Below are 27,099 nucleotides of genomic sequence, written 5' to 3' on the forward strand. Positions count from 1 at the left end.
ATACAATTAGATATGTGTAATAAATGTACCTACTCACATCACCACCACCACAGTCAGGACATAAAACATTTAGGCAACACCAGAAAGTTCCTTTTTTCCCCACTTTCAACCAGTCACCACCTCCATGGTTAACACCATTATGATTTTTAACACAAAAGATTAGTTTTACCTGTTCTTGAAGTTTTTATAAATAGAATTTTTTTTTTGCTGTCTACAAGAGAAACACTTCATTTTGTATATGCATAGAAATATATATATATATATATATATATATATATATATATATATATTCATTTTAGTAGCTTTTATAGTGCAAGTGGTTTTTGGTTACATGGATGAATTGTGTAGTGGTGAAGTCTAAGATTTTAGTGCACCCATCACCTGAATAGTGTATGTTGTACCCAATATGTAGCTTTTTATTCCTCTGCCCACTCTCACCCTTCCCCTTTCTGAGTCCCCAAAGTACATTATATCACTCTGTATGCCTTTGCATAACCATAGCTTAGCTTCCACTTATAAGTGAGAACATACAGTATTTGATGTTCCATTCCTGAGTTGCTTCACTTAGAATAATGGCCTCCTCCATCCAAGTTGCTACAAGGACATTATTTCTTCCTTTTTATGGCTGAGTAGTATGCCATTGTATATATGTTCCACATTTTCTTCATCTGCTCATCAGTTGATGGGCACTTAGGTTGATTCCATATCTTTGCAACTGTGAATTGTGCTGCAATATACATATGCATGCAGATGTCTTTTTAATGACTTACTTTCCTCGGGGTAAATACCCAGTAGTAGAATTGCTGGATCAAATGGGTCAAATGGTAGATCTACTTTTAGTTCCTTGAGAAATCTTCACGTTGTTTTCCATACAGGTTGTACTAATTTTTTTTTTCTTTGAGATGGAGTTTCACTCCGTCACCCAGGCTGGAGTGCAGTAGCGCAATCTCAGCTCACTGCATCCTTCACCTCCCGGGTTTTAAACAATTCTCTGCCTCAGCCCCCTCAGTAGCTGGGATTACAGGCACCCACCACCACGCCTGGCTAATTTTTTTTGTATTTTTAGTAGAGACGGGGTTTCACCATCTTGGCCAGGCTGATTTTGAACTCCTGACATCATGATCCACCCACCTCAGCCTCCCAAAGTGCTGGGATTACAGGCATGAATGACCAACCGAGCCCAGCCAGGTTGTACTAATTTACATTCCTGCCAGCAGCATATAAAGTGTTCCCCTTTCACCCCATTCATGCCAACATCTCTTGTTTTTTGACTGTTTAATAATGGCTGTTCTGGCTGGGCTATGGTGATATTATCTCATTGTGGTTTTAATTTGCATTTCCTGATGATTAGTGATGTTTAGCATTTTTTCCAGATGTTGGCCATTTGTATATCTTTTTTGAGATGTCTATTCATGTCATTTGCTTACTTTTTAATGGGATTATTTGGGTTTTTTCCTTGCTGATTTGAGTTTCTTGTGGATTCTGGTTATTAGTTCTTTGTCAGATGCATAGCTTAGAAATATGTTCTTCCATTTTGTGGGTTGTCTGTTTACTCTGAAAATTATTTTTTTCACTGAGCAGAAGCTTTTTATTTTTATTAGGTCTCATTTATTTTTGTTTTTGTTAAATTTGCTTTGGGGGGTCTTAGTCATAAATTTTTGCCTAGACTATTGTCTGGAAGAGTTTTCCCTAGGTTTTCTTCAAGAATTTTTATGGTTTCAGGTCTTAGATTTCAGTCATTCATCCATCTTGAGTTGATTTTTGTATATGGTGAGAGATAGGGATCCAGTTTCTTTTTTCTACATGTGCGTATCCAGTTTTCCCAGCATCTTTTATTGAATAGGGTGTTTTTTCCCCAATTTATGTTTTTGTATGCTTTGTCAAAGATCAGTTGTAAGTATTTGACTTTATTTCTGGGTTCTCTATTCTGTTCCATTGGTCTGTACATCTATTTTCATACCAGTACCATGTTGTTTTAATTACTATAGCCTTGTAATATAATTTGAAGGCAGGTAATTGTGATGCCTCCAGATTTGTTCTTTTTGCTGAGGATTGCTTTGGCTGTCCAGACTCTTTTTTGGTTCTATATGAATTTTAGGATTGTTACTTATTCTGTGAAAAATGATGTTGGTATTTTTATCAGAATTACATTGAATCTGTAGATTGCTTTGGGCAGTATGGTCATTTTTACAATACTGATGCTTCCAGTCAATGAGCGTGGGATGTGTTTCCATTTGTTTGTATCATCTATGATTTCTTTTTTTTTTTTTTTTTTTGAGACAAAGTCTCACTCTGTCACCCAGGCTGGAGGGCAGTGGCGTGATCTCAGCTCACCACAACCTCCGCCTCCCAGGTTCAAGCGATTCTCCTGCCTCAGCCTCCTGAGTAGCTGGGATTACAGATGTGTGCCACCACACCCAGCTAATTTTTGTATTTTTAGTACGGATGAGGTTTCACCATGTTGGCCAGGCTGGTCTCAAACTCCTAAGCTCAGGTGATGCACAGCCTCCCAAAGTGCTGGGATTATAGGCGTGAGCCACTGCATCCAGCCTCATCTATGATTTCTTTCAGCAGTGTTTTATAGTTCATCTTGTAGAGATCTTTCATCTTTCTGGTTAAGTATATTCCCAGTTTTTTGTTTTGTTTTGGTGGTGGTGTTGTTTTGCAGCTATTTCAAAAGGGATTTAGTTCATGATTTGATGCTCTGCATGGTCACTGTTGGTGTATAGCAGTGCTACTAATTTGTGTACATTGATTTTGTAACCTGAGATATAATTGGATTCATTTATCAAATCTAGGATTCTTTTGGAGGAGTCTTTAGGGTTTTGTAGGTGTACAATCATATCATTGGCAAAGAGAGATAGTTTGACCTTCTCATTTCCAATTTGGATGTCCTTTCTTTCTTTCTCGTGCTGATTGCTCTGGTTAGGACTTCCAGTACTATGCTGAATAGAAATGATGAAAGTGGGCATCCTTGTCTTGTTCCGGTTCTTCCAGGGAATGCTTTCTAATTTTCCCCATTCATTAAGATATTGGTTGTGGGTTTGTCATATGTGGCTTCCTTCTATACTTAGACGGAACATACCTCAAAATAATAATGTGTTGAGGGTTTTTTTATAAAGAAATGCTAGATTTTATTGAATGCTTTTTCTGTGTCTATTGAGATGATTGTATGTTTTTTATTTTTAATTCCATTTATGTGATGAATCGTACTTATTGACTTGCAAATGTTAAAGCATCCCTGCAGCCCTGGATGAAACCCAGGGTGAATTATCTTTTTGATATGCTGTTGGATTCAGTTTGCTGGTATTTTGCTGAGGGTTTTTGCATCCATGTTCATCAGGGCTATTGGTCTGTAGTTTCTTTCTTTTTTTTTTTTTTTTGTCCGTTAGATCCTTTCCTGGTCTTGGTATCAGGGTGATACTGGCTTTGTAGAATGAGATAGGGAGGATTACCTCTTTCTCAATCTTTTGGAATAGTTTCAGTAATATTGATACCAATTTTTCTTTGAATATCTGGTAGAATTTGGCTGTGAATCCATCTGACCTTGGGCGTTTTTTGTTGTTGTTGTTGGCAATTTTTAAAATTACTGAGTCAATCTCATTGCTTGTTATTGGTTTGTTCAGGATTTCTGTTTCTTCCTAATTGAAGATGGGGGGCTGTGTATTTCCAGGAATTTATCCATTTCCTCTAGATTTCCTACTTTGTGTGCATAGAGGTGTTCACAGTAGTCTCAAATGATCTTTTGTATATCTGTGATGTCTTTTTGTATTTCTGTGTTACAGATATTGCTGTAGTGTCTCCACGTTCATTTCTAATGGAACTTATTTGCATCTTCTTTTTTTTTTTTTTTTTTTTTGGTTAATATAGCTAATGGTCTATCAATCTTGTTTACCTTGTCAAAAACACAGGTTTTTGTTTCATTGGTTCTTTTATATTGTTTATGTTTGTTTGTTTCAATTTCATTTGATTCTGCTCTGATCTTTGTTATTTCTTTTCTTTTGCTAGTTTGGGTTTTTGTTTGTTCTTGTTTCTTTACTTCCTTGAAGTGTGACAATAGGTTGTCAATTTGTGATCTTTCAGACTTTTTGATTTAGGCATTTAGTGCTAAAAACTTTCCTCTTACTACTGCTTTTGCTGTATCTCGGAGGCTTTAATAACTGTGTCACTATTATTCATTTCAAAGAATTTTTTAATTTCCATCTTGATTTCATTGTTAACTCAGAAATAATTCAGGAGAAAATTGTTTAATTTTCATTACTTGTATAATTCTGAGAGGTCCTTTTGGAGTTGATTTCTAGTTTTTCTCCACTATGGTCTGAAAAGATACTTGTTTACCTTATTGATACTTGATTATCTTTGATATGATTTTGAATTTTAAAAATTTAGTGAGACTTATTTTGTTGCCTATCATGTGTTCTATCTTGGAGAATGTTCCATTTGCTGATAAGAAGTATGTGTATTCTTTTTTCTTTTATTTATTTATTTGTTTGTTTTTTTTTAATAGACGGGGGTCTTGCCATGTCGGCCAGGTTGGTCTTGAACTCCTGGTTTCAAGCAATCTGCCTGCCTCACCCTCCCAAAGTGCTAGGATTACAGGCGTGAGCCACTGTGCCCAGCAAAGTATGGGGTAGAATTTTCTGTATTGGTTAGGTCCATTTGTTGTAGAGTGCAGTTTAAGTCCTGTGTTTCTTTGTTGACTTTCTGCCTGGATGATCTGTCTAGTGCTGTCAGTGGAGTGTTGAAGTCCCCCACTATTATTGTGTTTCTGTCCAACTCTGGGAGCTCCAGAGTTAGGTGCATATATATTTAGGATTGTAATATCTTCTTGTTGGATTGATCCTTTTATCACTATATAATGACTTTCTTTGTCTTTTTTTCTTTTAACCATTGTTGCTTTAAAGTCTGTTTTGTTAACATCAGAATAGCTACTCTTGCCTGCTTTTGGTTTCCATTTGCTTGGAATATCTGTTTCCACCCTTTACCTTGAGTCTGTAAGAATCTTTACATGTTAAGTGAGTCTCTTGAATACAGCAGATATTTGGTTTGTAATTTTTCAACCATTCTGTCAGTGGAGGATATAGACCATTTACATTTAACGTTAATATTGAGATGTGAAGTACTATTTCAGTCATCATTGTTGACTGTTAACCTACTTTGTTTTCTTCATGTGTTATTGTTTTATAGGCTCTGAGTTTTATGCTTTCAAGATGTTCTATTCTGGTGCATATTGACCTTTTGTTTCAAGATTTAGAGCTCCTTTTAGTATTTCTTGTAGAGCTGGTCTAGTAGTGACAAATTCTCTCAGTATTTGCTCATCCGAAAAAAAACTTTTTTTCTCCTTCATTTATGAAACTTAGTTTTGCTGGATACAAAATTCTTGGCTGACAATTATTCTGTTGAAGGAGGCTAAAGATAGGACCCTAATCCTTTCTGGCTTGTAAAGTTTCTGCTGAGAAGGCTGTTGTTGGTCTAATAAGTTTTCCTTTATAGGTTACCTGATGCTTTTGTCTTACTGCTCTTAGAATTCTTTCCTTCATGTTGATTTTAGATACCCTGATAATTATATGCCTTGGTGATGTCCTTTTTGTTTTCTTTTTTTTTTCTTCTGAGACAGAGTCTCACTCTGTTACCCAGGCTGGAATGCAGTGGCATGATCATGGCTCACTGCAGCCTTGACCTCCTGGGCTCAAGCAATCCTCCCACCTTAGCCTCCTGAGTAGCTGGGACTATAGGCATATGCCACCACATCAGGCTAATTTTTTAATTTTTTATAGAGATGGGTTCTCTCTATGTTGCCCAAGCTGGTCTCAAACTCCTGGTCTCAAGTAGTCCTCCCACCTCGGCCTCCCGAAGTGGTATTACAGGCATTAGCTACTGGGTCCAGCTGGTGATATCCTTTTTGTAATGAATCTCCCAGGAGTTCTTTCAGTTTCTCGTGTTTGGTTATCTAAATCTCTAGCAAGGTCAGGGAAGTTCTCCTTAATTATTCCCTCAGATAAGTTTTCCAAATTTTTTGTTTGTCTTCTCCCTCAGGAACACTAGTGATTCTTTGGTTTGGCAATTTTACATAATCCCATATGTTTTGGAGACTTTATTCATTTCTTTTAATTATATTTTCTTTACTCTTGTCTGATTGGGTTAATTCAAAAGCTTTGTCTCCAAGCTCTGAAATTTTTCTTCTACTAGTTCTAGTCTATTGTTAAAACTTTCCTGTGCATTTTTTAATTCTCTAAATGTGTCTTTCATTTTCAAAAGTTCTGATTGGTTTTTCTTTAAAATATCCATCTCTAGAAAATTTATCACTCATATCCTGAATTATTTTTTTAACTTCACTATGTTGGTTTTCACCTTTCTCTTGCATCTCCTTGAGTAGCTTAACAATCAACCTTTTGGGTTCTTTATCTGGTATTTCAAAGATTTCATCTTGGTTTGGATCCATTGCTGGAGAGTTAGTGTGATCTTTTGTGGGTACTGTAGAACCCTGTTTTGTCATATTGTCAGAATTATTTTTCTGGTTCCTTCTCACTTGGGTAGACTATTTCTTCTAGTATTTTTGAATTTATTTTTCATTCAACTGTGTTTTTTAATTTTTTTATTCCCCCTTAAGGATGTAACTTTAATGTTTACAGTTTATTATAGCCCAATTTGGCTCTTGATGATTTCCGGTGTGAAGACTCTGAGTTCCTTGGTTATAGAGAATCTTTGTCTGATGGCTTTCTCAGATGCTGTTTGTAGTAGCAAGGTGCTTGGTGTGTGAGCAGGTTCACTGTCTTAAGTTTTCCATCTGGCTCACAGGGTAGACCGCAGCCCACCATTTCTTTCAGAGGGTCTGTGATTTCTGTCAGTTTTCCTGTTAAGTTCCTGTGTTGCTTCTTGAACAAAAGTTCACAGTATGACTCTCTACACACTCTTTTGTCTTTCCAAGTAGGGGAGGCATGCTAACAATGCTTTCAGTCCACCATCTTGGGGAAAAAAGAGTGTGTGTGTGTGTGTGTGTGTGTGTGTGTGTGTGTAAATGGAATAATGCAGTATGTATTCTTCTGTGTCTAGGATCTTTCACTCAATATTTTTGAGATTTATCCATATTGTTGCACATATCATAGCTTATTCTTTCTCTGTTGCTGAATTATATTCTGTTGCACAAATATATCATAATTTGTTTATACATTCATGGGATGATGGACATTTGGGTTGGTTACAGTCTTTAGCTATTATGAGAGAATCTTATGAATAAACTGAAAAAATTAACACTCTTGTACAAGTCTTTTTGTGGACATTTGTACTCATCAAATAAATACCTAAAAGTGCAATGATCTTTAATAGTGCCTGCATATTTTTTGCTTTAGTAGATACTGCCTAATGGTTTTCCAAAATGTTGCTACCACTTTACACTCTGACCAACAACACAGTATGTGAGAGTTTCAGATGCCATATATCTTGGGCAATATTTCGTTTTGTCAGTCCTTTTACTTTGAGCATTTCTAGTGTGTTTCTCATTTTTGTTTTAATTTGCATTTACCTAATGACTGATGAAGTTGAGTAATTTTCATATGCTTAATAATAATTTATATATTTTCTTTTGTGAAGTTGTGTGCTCAAGTCCTTTACCCATTTTTTTCTGTATTATTTTTAGATGCTACTACAATAAGACACTAACCAAAGTTTTTAAATAAGATTTCAGATTAGATTACCTATGATACCAATGTCTTTTTTTTTTTTTTTTCTGATACAGGATTTTACTCTGTCACCCACACTGAAGTGCAGTGGTAGAAGCATAGCTCACTGCAGCCTTGAACTCCTGAGTTAAGCATTCCTCCCACCTCAGCCTCCTGAGTAGCTGGTACTACAGGCATGTGCCACCATACCCAGCTAATTTTTAAAATTTTTTTGTAGAGATGGGGTGTCGCTATGTTGCCCAGGCTGGTCTTATACTGCTGGCCATGAACAATTCTCCCACCTTGGCTGCCCAAAGTGCTGGGATTACATGCATCAGTCATTGCGCCCAGTCAGCAATATATTTTGATTGATTTTTTAAATCTCTTTTGCACAGATTCTTTATAAAAATTTTGCAAAAATATACATAACATGAAATTTGCCATTTTAACCATTTTTGAGTATACTATTCAGTGGCATTAAGCACATTCACAGCATTGTGCCACCATCCCCACTATTCCTTCTGCGTATTTAGTATTTTCTTGAATGTAATTGATATGTAACAAATTACATATATCTCAGATGTGTAATTTGATAAGTTGTACCATATTTACACATCTTCAAAAGTTTCCTCATGACCATTTGTTATCCTTTCTTCAAACCACTCTCTGCCTCCACCCTCCCTCCCCAAGCAACCAGTGATCTGTTTTCTGTCACAACAGATTGATTTGCATTTTCAAGAATTTTATGTAAGTGAAATCATATAAAACTATTCTTTTTGCCTAGCTTCTTTCACTCAGTATAATTATTTTGAAATTCATTCATGTTATTATTGCATATACCAATGATTTATATATTATCATTGTTCAGTATTATTCTATTGTATGGATATATTACAAATTGTTCTCAAGCTCCTGGTCTCAAGTGATCCTCCTGACTCAGCCTCCTAAAGTGCTGGGATTGCAGGCATGAACAAGGTAAAAGTTTCAAGTTTACAGGCGTAAGCAACAGCACCTAGCCTTGGATACACTACAGATTGTTTAACCATTTGCCTGTTGGTGAACATTTGGGTTGTTTTCTGTTTTGGGCTATTACTAATGAAGATGGTAAGAACATTCATCTGTAAGCATATGCTTTCATTTCTCTTGGGTAAATCATTATAAATGTAATGGCTGGGTCATATAGCAGGTGTACGTTTAACTTTTAAGAAAATGGTGAACAGTTTTCCAAAGTGCTTGTACTATTTTACTTTCCCACTGATAGTGAATGAAAGTTCTATTTCCTCCATACCCTCACTTTCTTATGAGGATACTTTGTATAGTCAGTCTTTTTCATTTGAGCCATTCTAAATAAAGCCATTTATTCCATTTAGGTTTGTAGTGGTATTAATTTGCATTTCTCTAATGACAAATGATGCTGAGATCTTTTCGTGTGCTTGTCATTTGTAGGTCTTTGATCTTTTTGCATTGATCTTGTTTCTGCAAACTTGCTAAAGTTCTTCATTCATTCTATTAGTCGTTTCATAGATTTTTTAGTCTCCTACATAAACAATCGTCTTATATATAAATTAAAATGAGGGTTTTTTTTTTCAAATCTTTATGCCCTTCTTTCCTCCCTTCTTTCCTTTCTTCCTTCTTTTCTTTTTTTCAGCCTTATTTAACTGGCTAACACCTCCATTACAAATTTAAATAGAAGTGATTAGAGTAGACATCCTTGCCTTATTTCTGATCTTAGGAAGAAAGCATGTAGTATTTCACCACTAAACATGAAATTAACTTCAATTTTTAAAAGATGTCCTTGAGCTAAAGAATACAGGAATAACAAATGTAGGGGGAAGCTACTACCTCTGAGGCTTAGGGAGAGTATCCAAGGGAGGAGCAAACTTGGAAGCTGAGATTCAGGCCTGGTAGGAATGAGTGTGGCTGTGCCCCTGGTTGGTGAAGTTCACTGGAATGCCAAGGGCCAGAGCTAGAGAGCTGGGGCTGATGAGCAGAAAGTTGCCCACTGGGGTAGTGGTGAAACTTACTGGAATGTGAGACCCACTGAGTCTCCTATAGACCTCCGACATCTGCATCATAGGAGCAAAAAGAGCACATTGGAACCAGTGTGAAGAGCCCCTTCCTCTGCTATTATTTGTAGTGTCCCTGCTGCGCCTGCTACAGATAAAGTCAAATATTGTGGCAACTGCAAAGGAGAAATTTTCACAGGGTCTAGTCTCACAAAACATGGTAAAGAAGCTGATTTGGAGCTGAGAGGCAAAAAACTGATAAATGATACACTGATTGAGGAAACTTTCTTTTGATTCTAGTTCGCTGAGAATTTAAACCAAGAGTTGGTGTTGAATATTGTCAAATGCCTTTTCTACATCTATTGGAATTATCATATAGTTGTTGTTCTTTATTTATTTTGCTCATTATATCAATTGTTTAAAAAAATATATAGAGATGGAGTCTCACTGTGTTGCCCAGGCTACACTTGAACTCCTAGGCTCAAGCAATACTCCCACCTCAGCCTCTCGAGTAGCTGGGACTACAGGCACACACCCCACCACACGCAACACATCAATTGATTTTTTTTTTTGAGACGGGAGTCTCGCTTTGTTGCTCAAGCTGGAGTGCAGTGATGTGATCTCGGCTCACTGCAGCCTCCACCTTCCAGGTTCAAGCAATTCTCCTGGCTCAGCCTCCTGAGTAGTTGGGACTACAGCTCCGCACCACCACACCTGGCTAATTTTTGTATTTTTAGTAGATACAGCATTCCACCATGTTGGCCAGGCTAGTCTCGAACTCCTAACCTCAAGTGATCTGCCCTCCTTGGCCTCCCAAAATGCTGGGATTACAGGCGTGAGCCACCACACCTGGCCACATCAATTGATTTTAAAATGTGAAACCAACCTTGCACTTCTGGGATTAAGTCCTACTTTTTATGTATTGCTCAATTTAATTTGCTAATACATTAAGGATTTTTGCAACAGTGTTAAAAGGAATATTGGTCTATAGTTTAGTTGTTTTTTTTCTTCTTATAATGTCTTTGTCAGGTTTTCCTATCAGGATTTGCAGACTTCATAAAATAAGCTGGGAAACTGTCTTATCTTCTTCTATTATTTATAAAGTTGAGTAAGACTGGTAAGATTGGAATTATTTATTTCTTAACTTTTTTGTAGAATTTACCAGTGAAACCATCTAGTCTTGCTGGAGTTTTTTCTTTTCGATTTGGTAGGAAGGTGTTTTGGCAACAAACCTACTTTCTTTTATAGATTTAGACTTTTCAGATTTTATTTCTTCTTACCTCCATTTTAGTATGCTGTCTTTTTCAATGATTTCTCCAAGGCCCCTCAGGAAGAAATTTAGAACAAAAAGTGATGGTCAGAATTCAGTCCTCAATTCTCCTTTGTCTGAGGCCTGTGTGATAGCTGTTGGCATTTTTCGTCTGGTGGGAGTTTCTGATAAACAACTCAAGAACATATGTTAAGATGTTATCTTTTAGTTTCCATGGGACATCAGAATACCTTGTGACTCTGGCTTGCTTCGGAAACTGTTTTTACTACCTTCTTGCTTATCAGGTTGCTCATTTACTTTTCAAGGCTAGCTGGGTGCCTGGACTTTCCCTTGAAGGGACTCAAAATGGTTCCTTTATTTCCATGCTGAGGGGGGCCCAGCAGGTCCCTGAAAGGGGTCGCTGTTCTATCTCAATCTTTTTCTAGCTTCTTATGCTGGAATCTTAGGTCAATGATTTTATATAATCATTATTATGATAAAATTATTATAAAATATTATATATAATATATAAATATATTATTTATAATTACCTAATTGTATACATAGTTTTCTTAAATACATATAATTATTTAAGCCTGTGAAATTTTCCTAACCACTGCTTTAGCTGCAACTCACAAGTTTTGCTATGTTGCATTTTCTTCAAGTTTGAAATTCTGAGGGGAGAAAACACACTTCACCTGTTTGGGTTTTTTTCTGCTCTCTCACTCGACACAAAATCAACACAGAAGACTTCAGTGACCAAATATATGGAGACCTCTCCACCAGCAAGCAAGCAGTCAGTTCTGTAGCAGACACCCAGCTGGATATCCCCTAATTCAATTCTAACACTATCTACCCAGAGATGGTATCAGATACCACAGATTGAAGTCTCAGTGTCCAGACTGCCTCATGCTTCAGACACCAGTTACAAGTCAAGGCCCCCTGAACTTCTGACCAAACCAGCTTCAAGTTGGGGTTCCTACAACTCCCTGTCTAGTTTCAATTACTTTGCTAGAGTGGCTCACATAACTCAGGGAAACATGTTTACTAGTTTATTACAAAGGATATATTAAAAGATACAAATAAACAGCTGGTTGAAGAGATACATGGTCTGGGTACCATAGCTCATGCCTACAATCCCAGCACTTTGGGAGGTTGAGGCGAGAGGATCCCTTGATCCCAGGAGTTCAAGACCAGCCTGGGCAACATTGCAAAACACTGACTCTATCAAAATAAATAAATAAAATAGAAAAAAGAAAAGATAAGCTGCATAATGCAAGGTATAGAAGGGTCCCAAGCACAGGAGCTTCTGTCTCTGTGGAGTGGGGTGCACCACCCTCCCAGCATATGGATGAATTTCTTGTTCACCTTCCTATAAGCCTCCACATATTCAGCTATCCTGTACCCCATCCTTTTGGGCCTTTTATGGAGACTTCATTGGATAGGCATGATTAACAACCATGTAGAAATGTGATTGGGCCAAAAAGGTGTGATCTAATTGTAATAGATTGAGGGGGAAACCCATTAAGGCCTGTCTGTTCAGATTCATCTTGGCCTCTCTGCAGCATTCCTTCCTCCAGGGTATGGGGCAAAGCTCTTTTGAAACAGAGGTCTTGTAACCTACAGTCAGACAAGGTAGGTCAGAGAATTTCTTTATGGCCAGAGGCAGAGGAAGAGTAGAGTATATTTTTAGTTTCTAAGGGCCTGCCTTGGGGAGAAAAAGGATCAGGTGAAAGGAAAGCAGAAGGTCAGAGAGAGAGATTGTTTTCTGAGGCCTGTTTCTGAGGCCTAAAGCACCCAACATTTTAACAAAAGACTGTAACTAGGTCTGTGGGAGTTAAGAGCCAGAAACCGTGGACAAAAATCTATGTCTATATCTATATCACTGTCAAAATCAGATAATTAAAATTTATACAACATTATCCTCAGACCCTATTATTATCCCAATAATATCCTTAGGTATTAAGTTCAGAATCACACATTGCCTTTGTCAAACCTATTTAGTGTCCTTCAATCTAGAAAAGTTTCTTAATCTTTCCTCAACTTTAATGGTGTTGACACATTTGAAGATTGAGGGCTAGAATTTTTTTTTTTTTTTTTTTTTTTTTTTTTTTTTTTTTTTTTTTTTTTTTTTGGAGACAGTTTCACTCTTCTTGTGCAGGCTGGAGTGCAACGGTGCGATCTTGGCTCACCGCAACCTCTGTCTCCCGAGTTCAAGCGATTCTCCTGCCTCCAAAGTAGCTGGGATTACAGGCATGCACCACCAGGTCCCGCTAATTTTGTATTTGTAATAGAGACGGGGTTTCTCCATGTTGGTCAGGCTGGTCTCGAACTCCTGACTTCAGGTGATCCGCCCTCCTCAGCCTCCCAAAGTACTGGGATTACAGACATGAAGATGTGAGCCACCGTCGCCTGGCATTTTTTTTTTTGGAGACAGACTCTTGCTCTGTCGCCAGGCTGGAGTGCAGTGGCATGATCTCGGCTCACTGCAACCTCCATCTCTGGGGTTCAAGCAATTCTTCTGCCTCAGCCTCCCGTGTAGCTGGGACTACGGGCATGCACCACCACGCCTAGCTAATTTTTGTATTTTTAATAGAGACAGGGTTTCACCATGTTGGCCAGGATGGTCTCAATCTCCTGAACTCATGATCCGCCTGCCTCAGCCTCCCAAAGTGCTGGGATTACAGGTGTGAGCCACCATGCCTGGCCCTGGCTACATATTTTATATAATGTCCCTCAATTTGGGTTTGTTAGGTATCTTCTCATGATTAGATTTGTGTTGTCCACATTCGCAGAGACGTCATAGGAGTAATGCTGTGTTCTTCCTATTGAATCCTATTATGTGTCACAAAATTTTGATGTTTTTCATCACTAATTACATTCACTTGCTCACTTAATTAAGGTACTTGTAGGCTTTTTATCTTTATAATCAGTAAATATTTTGAGGGACAGTACTTTGAAACTATGTAAATGTCTTATTGTTTACTTTATCTGCTACTAATGTAGCCACTCCAACTTTCTTATCACTCATTTCAGGCAAATGTTTTTCTATTATTACTTTCAACCTATCTGTGTCTTTATATTTAAAGTGTATCTCTTGTAGACAACATAAGCATCTCTTATAGACTTTCTTTTTTATCTAGTCTGACAATATCTGCATTTTAATTGAAACATTAGTCCATTTACATTTAATGAATTCTTGATATGGTTGATTTTAAGTTTTTCATCTTATTATTTTTATTTTGAGCCATCTGTTATTGCTCCTTTCAATCTGTTTTCTTTTTCTCTTTTGCATTAATCAAATTTTTAATTTTTCATTTTAGTTCTTCAATTGGCTCTTTACCTATACCTATGTATTATTTTTAAGAGGTTGCTTTAGGGTTTACAGTATGCATCTTTCACTTACCGCATTGGAATATTATACTATGCCTCAGAAAACTTAACTATATCATTTTATTGTTTTCTGGTAGCCATCGGTTCCGATGAGAAGTACACCATCATCCCTGTTGTTCCTATGTGTATAATGGTGGTGGTTGTTTTTCTGACTTCTTTCAGTGTTTTCTTTTTTAGCTTTGGTTTTCAATAGTTTCCCTATCATGTGCATAGAGGTAGTTTTCTTTATATTAACCATGCTTTGGATTCACTGAGTTTCTTGGATATAAAAGTTGATATTTTTACCAAATTTAAATCATTTCTCAAATACTGTTATCTGTTCCATTCTCTCTTCTTCTGTGACACCAATTACACATAACATTAGACTTTTCTATATTGTCCTACAGGTCATTGAGGTTCTATTGATTTTTGAAACATTTTTTCCTTGTCTTCAAATTTAATTATTTCTGTTGATCTAAACTGAAATTTATTGGCTTGTTCTTCTATTTTTTAGTCTACTATTAAGTCCATGCTATGATTTTTACATTTCAGATATAGTACTTTCCAATTCTGGAACTTCCAATTGTTTCTTTTTATGTAATTTTTCTCTGCTGAGATTCCCTCATTTGTTTGGTAATTATGACCATCTTTTTCTGTTAAGTCTTTGACCATATTTATAAAGCTATTGTAAATTCCTTGTGTGCTAATTCCAACATCTGGGTTATCTTAAGATATCTTTATTTTGGTTTTTTTCTCTTGAAATTGAGTCCTGTTTTTCTGTTTGTTTGCATATGGAGTAATTTTTTATAGCATACTCAGAATTGTGGATGATACCTTGTAGGGACTCTTGATTCTGTTATCTTCCTCTAAAGAATGTTGACTTTTTGTTTTGTAAAAGTTAAAGCTGACTAATTACACTGAACTTGTTGAGTGTCTCGGTTTTTCCCTTAGTCTAGTTGAATCTATTAGACCAGGTCCACAGTCCTGGTACATAGTCTATACTTTTAAGGCATGGCCCTTCTGAGATTTCAGTGGGAAGTCTGAAATATGTACTAAGACCTCTAACTAAGTGGAACTCAAACTCCAAATTCTACCCCTATGCCTTGGGTAGTAGCTGAAATCTCTGATCAGCTTTTCAACTTTCCTTTTGTGGGTTTCTGCAGACATCTTGGAGTCTCCCATACATTGTCAATTCAGGGATCAGCCAAGGATTTTAAGGGAGTCTATATGCATATATGGGGCTTCCCCTTTTTGGCTCTTTTACCCATCTCTTTTATTCCATCATTTTAATCTTATTTACCACATCTAATGTCTAACCAACTGAAGTAGCCTACCAATCTTCCTGATTCAAGTCTTTCCCCTCTTTAAACCATTCTTCACACTGCGGCCAGATTTCATTCACTCATTTACTCATGTAACAAATAGTCAATGAGCACTTTCCTAAAAGACAATACTGTCAAGCAGTCAAGCTACTGCAGCTGCTAGGCTGGCTTGCCACATAGATTCAGCTGTTAAAAAGACCATAAGTCCAAATTGATTTAGACAGTTTATTGCTTATGGCACAGCAGGTAGCATGAGCTTCATGTCTGCATTGGTTCTCCTTGCCCCCAAGTCCCATAAGGGTGGTATGGAGGCAGGTCCACGTAGATGCTGCAAAGGCAGAGGGTCAGTGTCACACCTGAGGAAACTTGAACTTTAAAAACCTCCAATCTTACATCAAGGCTGTGAGCAAACCTGCCTATCCTTTGCCACCAAATGAAACATTATCTTTATTATCCTGGTTAGCAAACAAATCTGTCCTCTAACCTGAAGGGAGGTACCATTTTTAGCTTCCAAAGCAACTAGTTATGCAGACGTCTTTGAAAAGATAGTCCAAATTACCAGATATGCAGAAACATGATGGACAATTGCTTCCAAACAAGTACAAGGAGAAAGCAAACCACTTAGGTCAAGTTTTGAGAATGATTTCAGAGATATCAGAAATGTGTCCATCTGCTCCCCAACCCCAGTTATCATTCTCCTTTCCATCTGCAAAGATAAAAGAATCTCAACCACTTGCTAATTATAGACATAAATTTCCACAAAAGGTTTTAAATATTTCATCCCACAACAAGATATAAGACTGGAAGCCAGAATTACCTTGGAAGTGTTGGGCTAGCACTCCTTTACACTAAACTGGAAAGGTATAGTCTGCAAAAGCAGGCATTACCTGTTTATAATTAGCAATTTATGTATACTTTAAACAGCTATCCAAAGGAATTGAGTTAGGTTTAATCAGAAGAGTAAGAGACTAGAGACATGCACTATGGTTCTAGCTGCAAGGGCCTTACACCCAAGATAAGGAGAATGGGCGCATATACTTAAAGAGGGCATAATCTTACAAGCCAGTGTTAGTATGCTGAGTGTCCCATACAAGCAAGTCTGGCCATAGTGCTTCTCATATTCAGAGGCGGGTACAGTCATTAGGGGGTGCTTTTATAGAACATTTCAGTTTCCATTATTCTTCTGACTGGGTGTTGAAAAGCAGTTATTACAATAGTTTTTTTTTTTTTATTTTGACTTCCTGATGCATCTGCAGATGTGCACTGAACTTAATACTGTAGTCACAATGGTGACTTTACATCATTCAGGGAGTCATTCCTTAAGCCTAGCTAGAGTCCTTCCACTTACTTTATAAGTACATAATTCCCTGTATTAAAATCTTTCCTGCCTAAAATACCTAAATGGCTTCTGTTTCCTGTACTGAACCTGCCTAATACATGGAGGAATTGAAATTTCAGGTGGATCTTAAAGATATGGTCAACTTTTGACATAGAATGAGAACCCAGAGAGAACTTCAGGCAGAGGGAATAGAGTGAGCAAAGATTAAAAGGCAGAAATGGCCATGGCATTTTTTAGAAACATTGAGGAAACTGATTACAGAAGAGAATGATAGAGTTTCCTGTTATACAAATTTCTTTATTTCCTATCAAATCCTAAATGTTTTCATCTCTTTTTCTTTTCCACTTCCTTTTCTTCTTTCTCTCTTCCCTCTCCTTTCTTTCCGCATATCACTTGTCTATCGCTTTAACCTTCCATGTCACACAGTAGCATTCATAGACATTGCTTACTTATTTTGGGGGCCTTCAGAATTAAAGAAGTTGCTGCACCTCCAAAGTTTTGTTCTTTCCACTGAATATTCCACTATTAGGTCAGCAGGCTCATTCTTGAACTTGGCTCTATTACTAAGCAGTCTCATTCATAAATTTAGTCTCCTTAGACTAACTAGATTTATTGTGGGCTATCAGAAATCCTCCCCAGATGTGCATGACTGCACTTGGAAGCTTTGAGCTTTACAGCCCTGTTTACTGCCACCTGATTCTAACCAGAGCAATATCTCTTATCCATTGGCAGAAAAGAGTTAAGGATGTGATAGGGAATTTGAGTTAGTGGTAGGCATGAAAGTAATGTGATGGGCTTGTAGAGGATGAGTGCAAGGCATGTTGGAGGCAATAACATAGATATTTCACCATAGCTCTCAGCAAATTATATCTCCTAAGGTACAAAGCATAAAGTCCAACATACATTTGATGTTTAGCATCTATAGTATTTGGTGAGCCATTGTGAAGCACATACCAGTTACTTTTGATAAAGTAGCTTGAAAGAACTCTTGATTTTTTTTTAAATGCTTGCTTCAAACATACCCTGTAATTTTGTTTTCCTGCCCCATTTACTGTTACTCATTCTCAATCTTTTATATTGCCTATTACTCAGTAGCTCGACTTCTTGTTGTTAATAACTGTAGTCTCGGGTAACTTTTTCTTTGTCTTTGTGAACATTTTTTTCTCAAGTTTATTTTATCCAGGCTAGGTATTTAACAGCTCTGTGTTTCTTATAAAAAGAAATACAAATTATAAAAGCTAAAATGAACCTTGAAAAACATTTACTGCAGCATTTCCCAAAGCTTCCTTTTTTTTTTTTTTTTTTTGAAACAGAGTCTCACTCTATCATCTAGGCTGGAGTGCAGTGGCATGATCTAGGCTCACTGTAAACTCTGCCTCCCCAGTTCAAGCGATTCTCCTGCCTCAGCCTTCCAAGTAGCTGGGATTACAGGCATGCGCCACCATGCGTGGCTAATTTTTGTATTTTTAGTAGAGACAGGTTTTTACCATGTTGGCCAGATTGGTCTCGAACTCCTGACCTCAGGTGATCCGCCCGCCTCAGCCTCCCAAAGTGCTGGGCACGCCCAGCCCCAAATCTTCTTTCTTAAAGTAATATTCACATGTAATGTTGTGTAAAAAAATGGGTCCCATGGTCAGATAAGTGTAGGAACTACTGCATGTTTCTCCTTGAAAATTTAGCATGTATAAGCATTCTAGAAGCTCTGAGAAGTTGCACAGTGAAGAAACCCATTAATTTTTTAAGTCCAAAATTTCTCATAATCATTTGATCCCAATGCTTTTTTTTTCCAGCATAAACTAACAGCATTTAAGGAAACAGTGATCTGTAAAACACTTTGGTAAATAAAATACTAGTTTATAACTTAAATGAATTTCCTCATTTCACAATTGAGGAAACTGAGGCCCAGAAAGTTGTTTTATTCATCACAATTAAAAACAATGCCTTACACAAAGAAGGTACTAAATAATTGTTTGGTAAATTGAATGATATATTTATGTTTAGATAACTAGTTAGAGCCAGGACTAAAACCCAGCTGTCCTGACAAGTTAGACCTATAGCATTTAATAAGGATAATGCAGTTCACTTCTATTCACTGCTATTTAAGCTGATGATAAAAACATTTTATAATTGCTATTAAAAAAGCATCATATGCTGGTTTAAAAGGCAAACTAAAGAAGTTGAATAGTTGGCTGATGTTTTAAATCGACTTAGACCACAGGTATCTATCTCTTTAGTTTTTAACAGTGTCAAATATTGGTCTCTTGATATTGTTCAGAGCACTCTGGGTTTTGAAAAAACAGTTCAAGTATGTGCAAAGGCATCTGAAAGGGGAATTTTCTGAAGCTTTTTCTACTCCCATGATTCTCACAAAATTCTTCAATTCATTCTAGTCTAGAAAGTAATGGATCTTCCATAAAGATGTGCTAATCCCAAGGTGATCACAAAAAAAAAGATTTTCCCACCTCTGAACAGGTTTCTTTTGTTGTTGTTGTTGTTTTGCTACTTTTTTTTAAGTATGCTTAGCATGTTATACCAAAAATAATGTTTCTTTTTTATATAAAATATTGTACTATATATATAAGAAATACCTCAGAATTTCTGTTTTTAAGGACTCCATTTTGGCATGATATTTTTTGGTCATTACCTACTTAGCTATGTCATATTTTAATATCACCAAAGAAAATATCTTAAAATGAAATTCTTGAATTGCGCTTGACCTTTCCGGTTGACAGTCAGCTTAAATTATATAGTATCTCCCATTATCTCACAACAGATGTCATCTCTTAGGAATGCTTCCTTTCATTGAAGACACTGTGACAATAGGAAAGGGATGTGGGGTGAAAAAAAAGTCACGTATCTTTTGTTTATCTGCAAAAGTCTGTGCATAGTTTTTATTGCTGAAAATAAACATGTATCATGATTGGTGTATGGGGGTTCACATTAGTATCAGAAGTTTTTATGGCCACTCTGCTGGTGACCTAGTATATTGTGCTGTTTTCTCAACTGCCTTTGTAAACACAGTAGCCTTAATAGATCATTTTGAAAGAAGCTGCCATCCTGCTGCATCTGTTGGTAGCCTTTCTCAGGTTTCTGACATATCCTTAATCTGATGCTCAGCCTTGTCATTTGGATCAATAGTAAACTAGATAAGATGTCTTCTACTTGCAAGGCTATGGCTATAAAATGTATTTGAAAAATAAATTCACTTTTTATGTCCATGCCACAAACCTGGGGAGTACTAATTTGTCATTCTCTCTCCATCTGTCTGTAAACAGTCAGTTAAATTGGTTATTGATGAGAAGAAGGTGAATTATACTTGAAACAAGAGTAATATAGAAATAAACTTCATAGTAAATGTCTTAGATTCCTACAAAAAGGTGACATATTTTAGCTGTTGTCTTAACTTTAATCTCTAGAATAATGAGCAATTTGTTTTATATTTTCTATTCCAAATCATCAATAATAATTATAATTAATTATAATTATAAATTATACTTTACAAACCACTCACATATAGTATTCAATCTTGATAATCTCTATAACTATCCATTTTACAATTTGTAAAGCATTTATTTATTCAAAAAATGTTTATGTAGTGCCTACTATAAATGAGGCACTGTGCTAGGCACTACAAATTCTCTATACAAAACAAAATTGTGATGATAGAACATGTTAGAATTGTAGCATTTTAATGTTAGAAGGAATCCTAGAAATCATCTACTACTAACTTCTCATTTTACAGGAAACTAGATCTTAGACAGTTTGTGAATCATGCTCAACCAGCTATTTAGTGACTTTTTTTCTATTATAGGATATAAACAGATAATCTTTTAAAAGTAAACCCATAGTTTAATCTTTTTGAATGTATATTTCCTCATCTAAGTAGTGAGAATACTTCTGGTTTTCACAACAAGAATACTGTGAATATTAAGTAAGGCATGAGTAGGGAGCATTTTGAAATTTAAATATAATCTGAGGATAAGAAACAACTCCTTGTAGACAAGAGGAAAAGAGTATGTAAAAATGTAAACTGCGATTACCTCAGGTTTAAGAGGTGCAGGCTGATCACTGTTTTCTTCTTTATACTTTATTTTTGACATTCCTTTAATGGACATGTTATTACTTTTATAACAAAAATTTTAAGTTTTTTTTCTTTTTTTCTAACTTTATGTTTTGATATAATCTCAAATTTACAGAAAAGTTTCAAGAACAGTACAAATAATTTTCATATACTCTCAAATTCCTCAAATGTGCACATTTTGACACGTGTGCTTTATCCTTCTCTCTACTTTGCCTTGATATATGGGAATGTGTAGATATTGCCTTCTGAATCATTTGGAGTAAGTTGCAGGTGTGATACTCCTTTGCCCCTAAATTTCAGTGCATAGTTTCTAAAAACAAGGACATTCTCTTACATAGCCACAGCTCAATTATCACAATCAGGCAGTTAACATAAATAATATTATCTCATCCAAAAATCTTACTTAGATTTTGCCCATTGTCCCAACAATGTCATCTATTTAAAAAAAAAAAAATCCAGGATCAGGCACTCCATTCAATCATTTATGTCTTTTTAGTCTTCATTAATCTGCAACAGTTTTTCAGTCTTTTGTGTATGTATGTGTGTACTTCATGATATTCACATGTTGTAAGTATACAGGCCAGTTAAATTGTACAGTAGCCTTCCTTTTTAATTTGTCTGATATTTCCTTATAATTAGATTCAGATTATGCACTTTTGGTAAGAATACCACAGGAGTGATGTTGTATTCCTCTCAGTGCCTCATATCAGGAAGCATGTGTCATCAATTTGTCCCAGTAATGGTGTTAATTTTGGATTATTCACTTGAATAAAGGAGCTCCTGCCAGGTTCCTCTGCTGTGACGTCACTATTTTTTCCATTGTAACTATAAATAATAAGTATCTTGTGGGAGCTAATTTGAAACTATATAAATATCCTGGAACCGTCCAACCCACTCTATTGTTAGCATCGTTTGACCACTCACACCTGAGTTGGTTGTTATGATGATGGCTGCCACATGAAAGAGTTATTTATTTATTCATTCATTTTTTATTTTTTGTTTATTTATTTATTTTTCAGGCAGAGTCTCACTCTGTCACCCAGGCTGGAATGCAGTGGCACTATCTTGGCTCACTGCAACTGCTGCCTCCTGGATTCAAGCGATTCTCATGACTCAGCCTCCCAAGTAGCTGGGAATACAGGCGTGCACCACCATGCCTGCTAATTTTTGTTTTTTTAGTAGAGATGGGGTTTCGTCGTGTTGGCCAGGCTAATCTCAAACTCCTGACCTCAGGTGATTCACCTGCCTCATTCTCCCAAAGTGCTGGGATTATAGGTGTGACCCACTGTGCACAGCTGCACAAGTTATTTTTAAAACCACTGCTTATTTAAGATATACAGTTAGATGTATACTTAGATGAAAACTATGCAAATCCTCTCTCTTTTTAAACAAAAAAACTAAAAAGGATTAGAAGAGTTTTCACAGAAATGCTAGCAGAGCTTGTGTTAGGCTTAGGGTAATAAAATTGTTGGTAACCTTTTTTCTTACTTTGTTTTCCCAATTTTTAATAGTTTTTCAAAATTTTCAATATATGTAAAGCATAAAATTTCTAATTTTTGAATGTGTTTCTAAAATTTATGTTTGTTTATTTCCATTTGGTCCACAAAGGGCTTGAGGGAGATACTAAAATATTGATTTCAGAATTGTAGTGTGCTTGCACTTGAAAGAATAGTTAGATTACAGTTAAAACATAGCTATAACAAACAGGACATCTACCCTGGCATAAACTACAGATTGACACAACTAAAATAGTCTTTAATCTGCAAATCTTTATTCCTCACTTCAGCCACCAAGCTGTAGCATTATGCTTTCTCAACTCGGTTGCTTCTCTTAGTTTCAAATAAAAAGGTCTAAAATGGTGGCAGACAGATGAAGAGCAGTATAGAGTTCAGGGATTGACTTGCAGATGGAGGTATGTTTTGATATAATTTTTTAAAGATGGCTAAATTTGAAACTAGAAGATACAATTTTGAATTCAAGCACTCACTGTGAGGATTTAGGCTACCATTTTGAAAATGGATAATAGTTACTAAGTCAGATTACTAGTTATGGTCAGCATTTGATTAAACCCTTTAATGCATGGTCTGAATGAGGTTCATTAAAGGTTTTTTAGTATAATCGAATTTACTTACACATTTGTCTGTATATTTGTCTTTTCCCACCATCTAAGAAATCCCATCCATAGTGTGGAACTGAAGTAGAGAAGGCAAAAGATGGATTCAATCAGTTGTTTGAAACAGGTCCCCCAAAGGCACACATCTTCGCAGAGTAGGTGAATTGATTTTTCTAAACTGCATGCTAGGATCAATAAAACTAAGGTACATTGTTGGAAAACTAAAGATGGAGCCTACAAGACTTGGGGTGCTTCAAAGGAACCAGGAGTTAAACAAAATTTGTTGCATTTAGCTTCTGAGTTTAATATTAAAATATGATGTTTTAATAACTTTGCTTGCAGTGTCACTGAGAAGGCTGGTCAGGGTCAGTAAGAAGAACAGGCTACACAGATTATCATGGACATCAAACAATGAGAACATTAGGAGCAAATGAAAGCTGTTTTGTTTACAGATACTACTTTTATGATGAGAGGAGAGCAATGATGGTATCTGAGAAAGAAACCAATATTTGTTGAGTACTCGCTGTGCACTGGTCACTTTTTTTTCTTTTTTACCAATGGGAAATCTGAGGCTTTGAGAAGTAACTTGCTCACAGTTATTAATAATATAGCCAATGAAGTGCCCAGATCTGACTGGTTCCAAAATCCATTCTCATTTTATTACACCGTACTGCCTCCCCATGGAGTAGCATTTTTGGATCCCCTAAAGCGAACATCAATATGCTAGGAAAATGAATTACTTGTGCAGTATTGGGAAAAAGGAAATGGATGTAAAAACTGTTACCCTGTGGTTAAGGAAAATAAAAATTATTAGAAATTAAGTCATTGTTGAGTCAGTTAGAATAAAAAACATTTAGTTTTGAAGTAGCTATAGGGAGCAGGTCTTCTGCCTTTTAGAATTAGAATCATAGAGTCAAAGGACATTAAGCTGGGTGGGCTTTAGATCAGAATCCACCCTCCTTATTTTTCATGTGGGAGGAAACAGAGGCTAGGAAAAATTCAGTGATTTGCCTTTGGGTGTGGGAGTGTTCTGGCTGAGACCTCTCTCATGTCCCTCCCTTACTTAAATCCTTCAGTACTGGCCGGGTGCAGTGGCTCATGCCTGTAATCCCAGCACTTTGGGAGGCCAAGGCGGGAGGATCACAAGGTCAGGAGATCGAGACCATCCTGGCTAACACAGTGAAACCCTGTCTCTACTAAAAATACAAAAAATTAGCCGGGCGTGGTGGTGGGCGCCTGTAGTCCCAGCTACTCAGGAGGCTGAGGCAGAAGAATGGCATGAACCTGGAAGGCAGAGCTTGCAGTGAGCCGAGATCGCGCCACTGCACTCCAGCCTGGGCAACAGAACGAGACTCCGTCTCAAAAAAAAAAAAAAAAAAAAAAAAAATCCTTCAGTACTGCTTCAGAAGACTGAAAGGAAAAGCCCAAACTCCTTGACCCTGCACTTTTCGTCATCGAGTTCTTGCTTATCTTTTGGGCTTCAGTGTCCTGTGTCTCCAGTTCTACTCTATCCTCAGACATACTGTGTTTTTAAAGCTTTCATTCTAGTCACCTCTTTTTCATCCTCCACACACAATGCCGTCGCACATTCAGCTTCCTTCCTACTTTAAGCTGGCTTAATTGCATATACTTTCAACATGCAGCTCAGGCACTGTTTTCTCCAATAAGCTTCTACTGACCCCTCAAGGCTGGGTTAGGTGCCCCTCTACAGAGTTCTTACTACCGTGTGTCCTTACCTCTATCATAGAACTGATCTCATTGTATGACAGCAGTGAATAGCATTGCATATGGTTTCACTTTCTATTACGGTCAAAGGGAGGGATAGTGTGGGGGTTATTGGAGCATGTAATAAGTGGATCCAAGAGACATGATATACACAACTTACTAATGTTGGCTTCAGAATATGCATATAGGAGGAGCTTATGGGGACAAATTGATTGGAAGGAGTGGGAGTAAGATTTGAAGCTGTCTTTATATAGCACTTTACATAAAATTCAGAAAATACTTATTGCCCTCCATATCAAAGAAATTGGGAGCAGGAACAAGATGGAGACATTGAGGAGTGTCAAAGTGTTAGTAATCCTAAGTTAAGATCCTGTTCAACTGCCATCTCTTTCATGAAGTCATTCTGTTCTAACCCCTTCCCCTCTTCACAAGGACATCTTGGGGAAGTCACAAGGAATGACTTTTAAGTACATCATCTATCCTGTCTTTGTGTTCTGTTTTTGTATCCTTTTTGTGCATTTACCCTTCCTTGCTTATAATTTTGCATTGCATACAAGCGTACATCTGTATAAAGCTTCCCCAACTCTTAGCATGGAGTCTGATACAGAGTAATTACATCAAAAATAACCATTGAATGTTGAATGAATGGTTTAATTAGGTCAGTGCTTCTCAATCCCGGTTGCATTTTTGAATCACCTACCGAAAATTTAAGAAATATTAATTCCAAAGTCCCAGAAATTCTGATTTTGTTGATCTAGGATGGGAACAGACTTTTTTTTTAAGCTCCTAAGGATTGAGAACTCCTAGATTAGGTTCTTTGTTTCAACAGTGGTTCTCAAAGTTTAGGATTCTAGACCAGCAGCAGCAGCACTTCCCAGAAACTTGCTACAAAATGCAGATTCTTGGCCCCTACACCAGTGAATGACAAACTCTGCGGGAGGGCCTATGTGTTTTCAAGCCCTCCAGACGATCTTGATGCATGCTAGAGTTTGAGAACTTCTTTTGCTAGAGTTTAAGACAAAAAAAAAATGTTGTCCTTAAATAAAATACCAACTGTGAGAAACCAAATATACTTTATAATCATCCTAAAAGGTTGTACCAATTTAAAGCACCACTCTAAATAAATCAGAGTACCTCACAAGCACAACAGAATTATCCTTGTGGAAATAAGCATCCCAGCATTTTATAACTTTTTTCAATATTTATTTTTGGTTAGTTTCCTATATATAAAAGGCTCTCCAATGAAGGCATTAATTTTCATAATAATCTAAATAAAATAGGCTATATTAGTCAGGAAGAGCACCTGAAAAATCTGGCATTGGATAAGGAAGCCTCAGAGTCAAGAATACCTTTCCATAATTTCCTCTCATAGAGAAAAGCCTTTTTTTGACAGTAACATTTTCTCCTTCTCTCATTTGTGCTGTTTGACTCCGTGCCACTTGATAGCTCTGTCTATTCCTATGGAAACCAAGTTAGTGGATGGAGCCAAGGCTTGGAGAAGGCATTGGGGGGAAATATTAGAAGAGTTCAGCCTTAGAGCAACTAAAGATGTTGCCTTTCCCTCAGTCAAATCCTCTTTGAGAGCCAGAACTATTTCAAGCCAGAGAGATGTTCTTGGCTGATGTATTGTCTAGCTGCTCTGCCAGATGGATGAACATCTTAAACTTGGAAAATAGCAAATAAAGCTCCTATTCTGTCTTTGGAGCACATTCTTAGCCTTTGCTTACAGAATTGTCAAATAACTAAAAAATATATTTTTAAAGATTTGCTTAAGATGGCAGGTTAGTGATGTGGTTCTCATCATATTTGTTAAGTACTTAGAAATTTTAGCAATAAAACACAGAATTAAGCCTTGACAATCAGAAGTTTAAGTAAAGAGGAAGAATGTCGGTCAGTGGAAAAAGCAATGCAGATTTCATTTTATTTCTGTAGCTCAGTGAATTTATGTCTTTCATGAGTTGATTGCTGTAACTGTTTGCTTCCCTATAAAATCACTTTAAAGACTAAGCAACCAGAGTACAAACAGACATCTAAATCAACTGAAATAAGAAAATTATCTAAGCATACAAGAAGGCATTCTCCTTTCTAATCCATTTCTGCTCTACATTTTATATGGCACTGGTAGCTAACTCATGATTGCATTGTACTGAGCCATTTATGTGGATATTTATATTATGTTTATATTTCAAGAAGGGTGTAGAGATTCATATTTCCAATTTATATTCTTTGATTTA

The 27,099-nt window shown here is 36.7% G+C and overlaps 1 protein-coding gene across 4 annotated transcripts in view, besides 2 other annotated features; it reads left to right on the plus strand.

The window, feature by feature from the left end:
- The window catches only part of INVS (inversin), a 202,933-nt gene that overhangs the window by 86,026 nt on the left and 89,808 nt on the right, over positions 1-27,099 (plus strand). The gene's annotated exons all lie outside the window — the stretch shown is intronic.
- Positions 10,999-11,293: a silencer, noted in NCBI's record as "tiled region #13033; K562 Repressive DNase matched - State 8:EnhW". NCBI's record gives its function as "represses a minimal TATA promoter and a strong SV40 promoter by Sharpr-MPRA in K562 cells {active_cell/tissue: K562}" and the evidence as "EXISTENCE:reporter gene assay evidence [ECO:0000049][PMID:27701403]".
- Positions 24,772-24,821: an enhancer, noted in NCBI's record as "active region_28722". NCBI's record gives its function as "activates an Ori minimal core promoter by ATAC-STARR-seq in GM12878 lymphoblastoid cells {active_cell/tissue: GM12878}" and the evidence as "EXISTENCE:reporter gene assay evidence [ECO:0000049][PMID:35858748]".

Source organism: Homo sapiens, chromosome 9 (genome assembly GCF_000001405.40).
Source record: "Homo sapiens chromosome 9, GRCh38.p14 Primary Assembly".
Classification (NCBI taxonomy): Eukaryota; Metazoa; Chordata; class Mammalia; order Primates; family Hominidae; genus Homo; species Homo sapiens.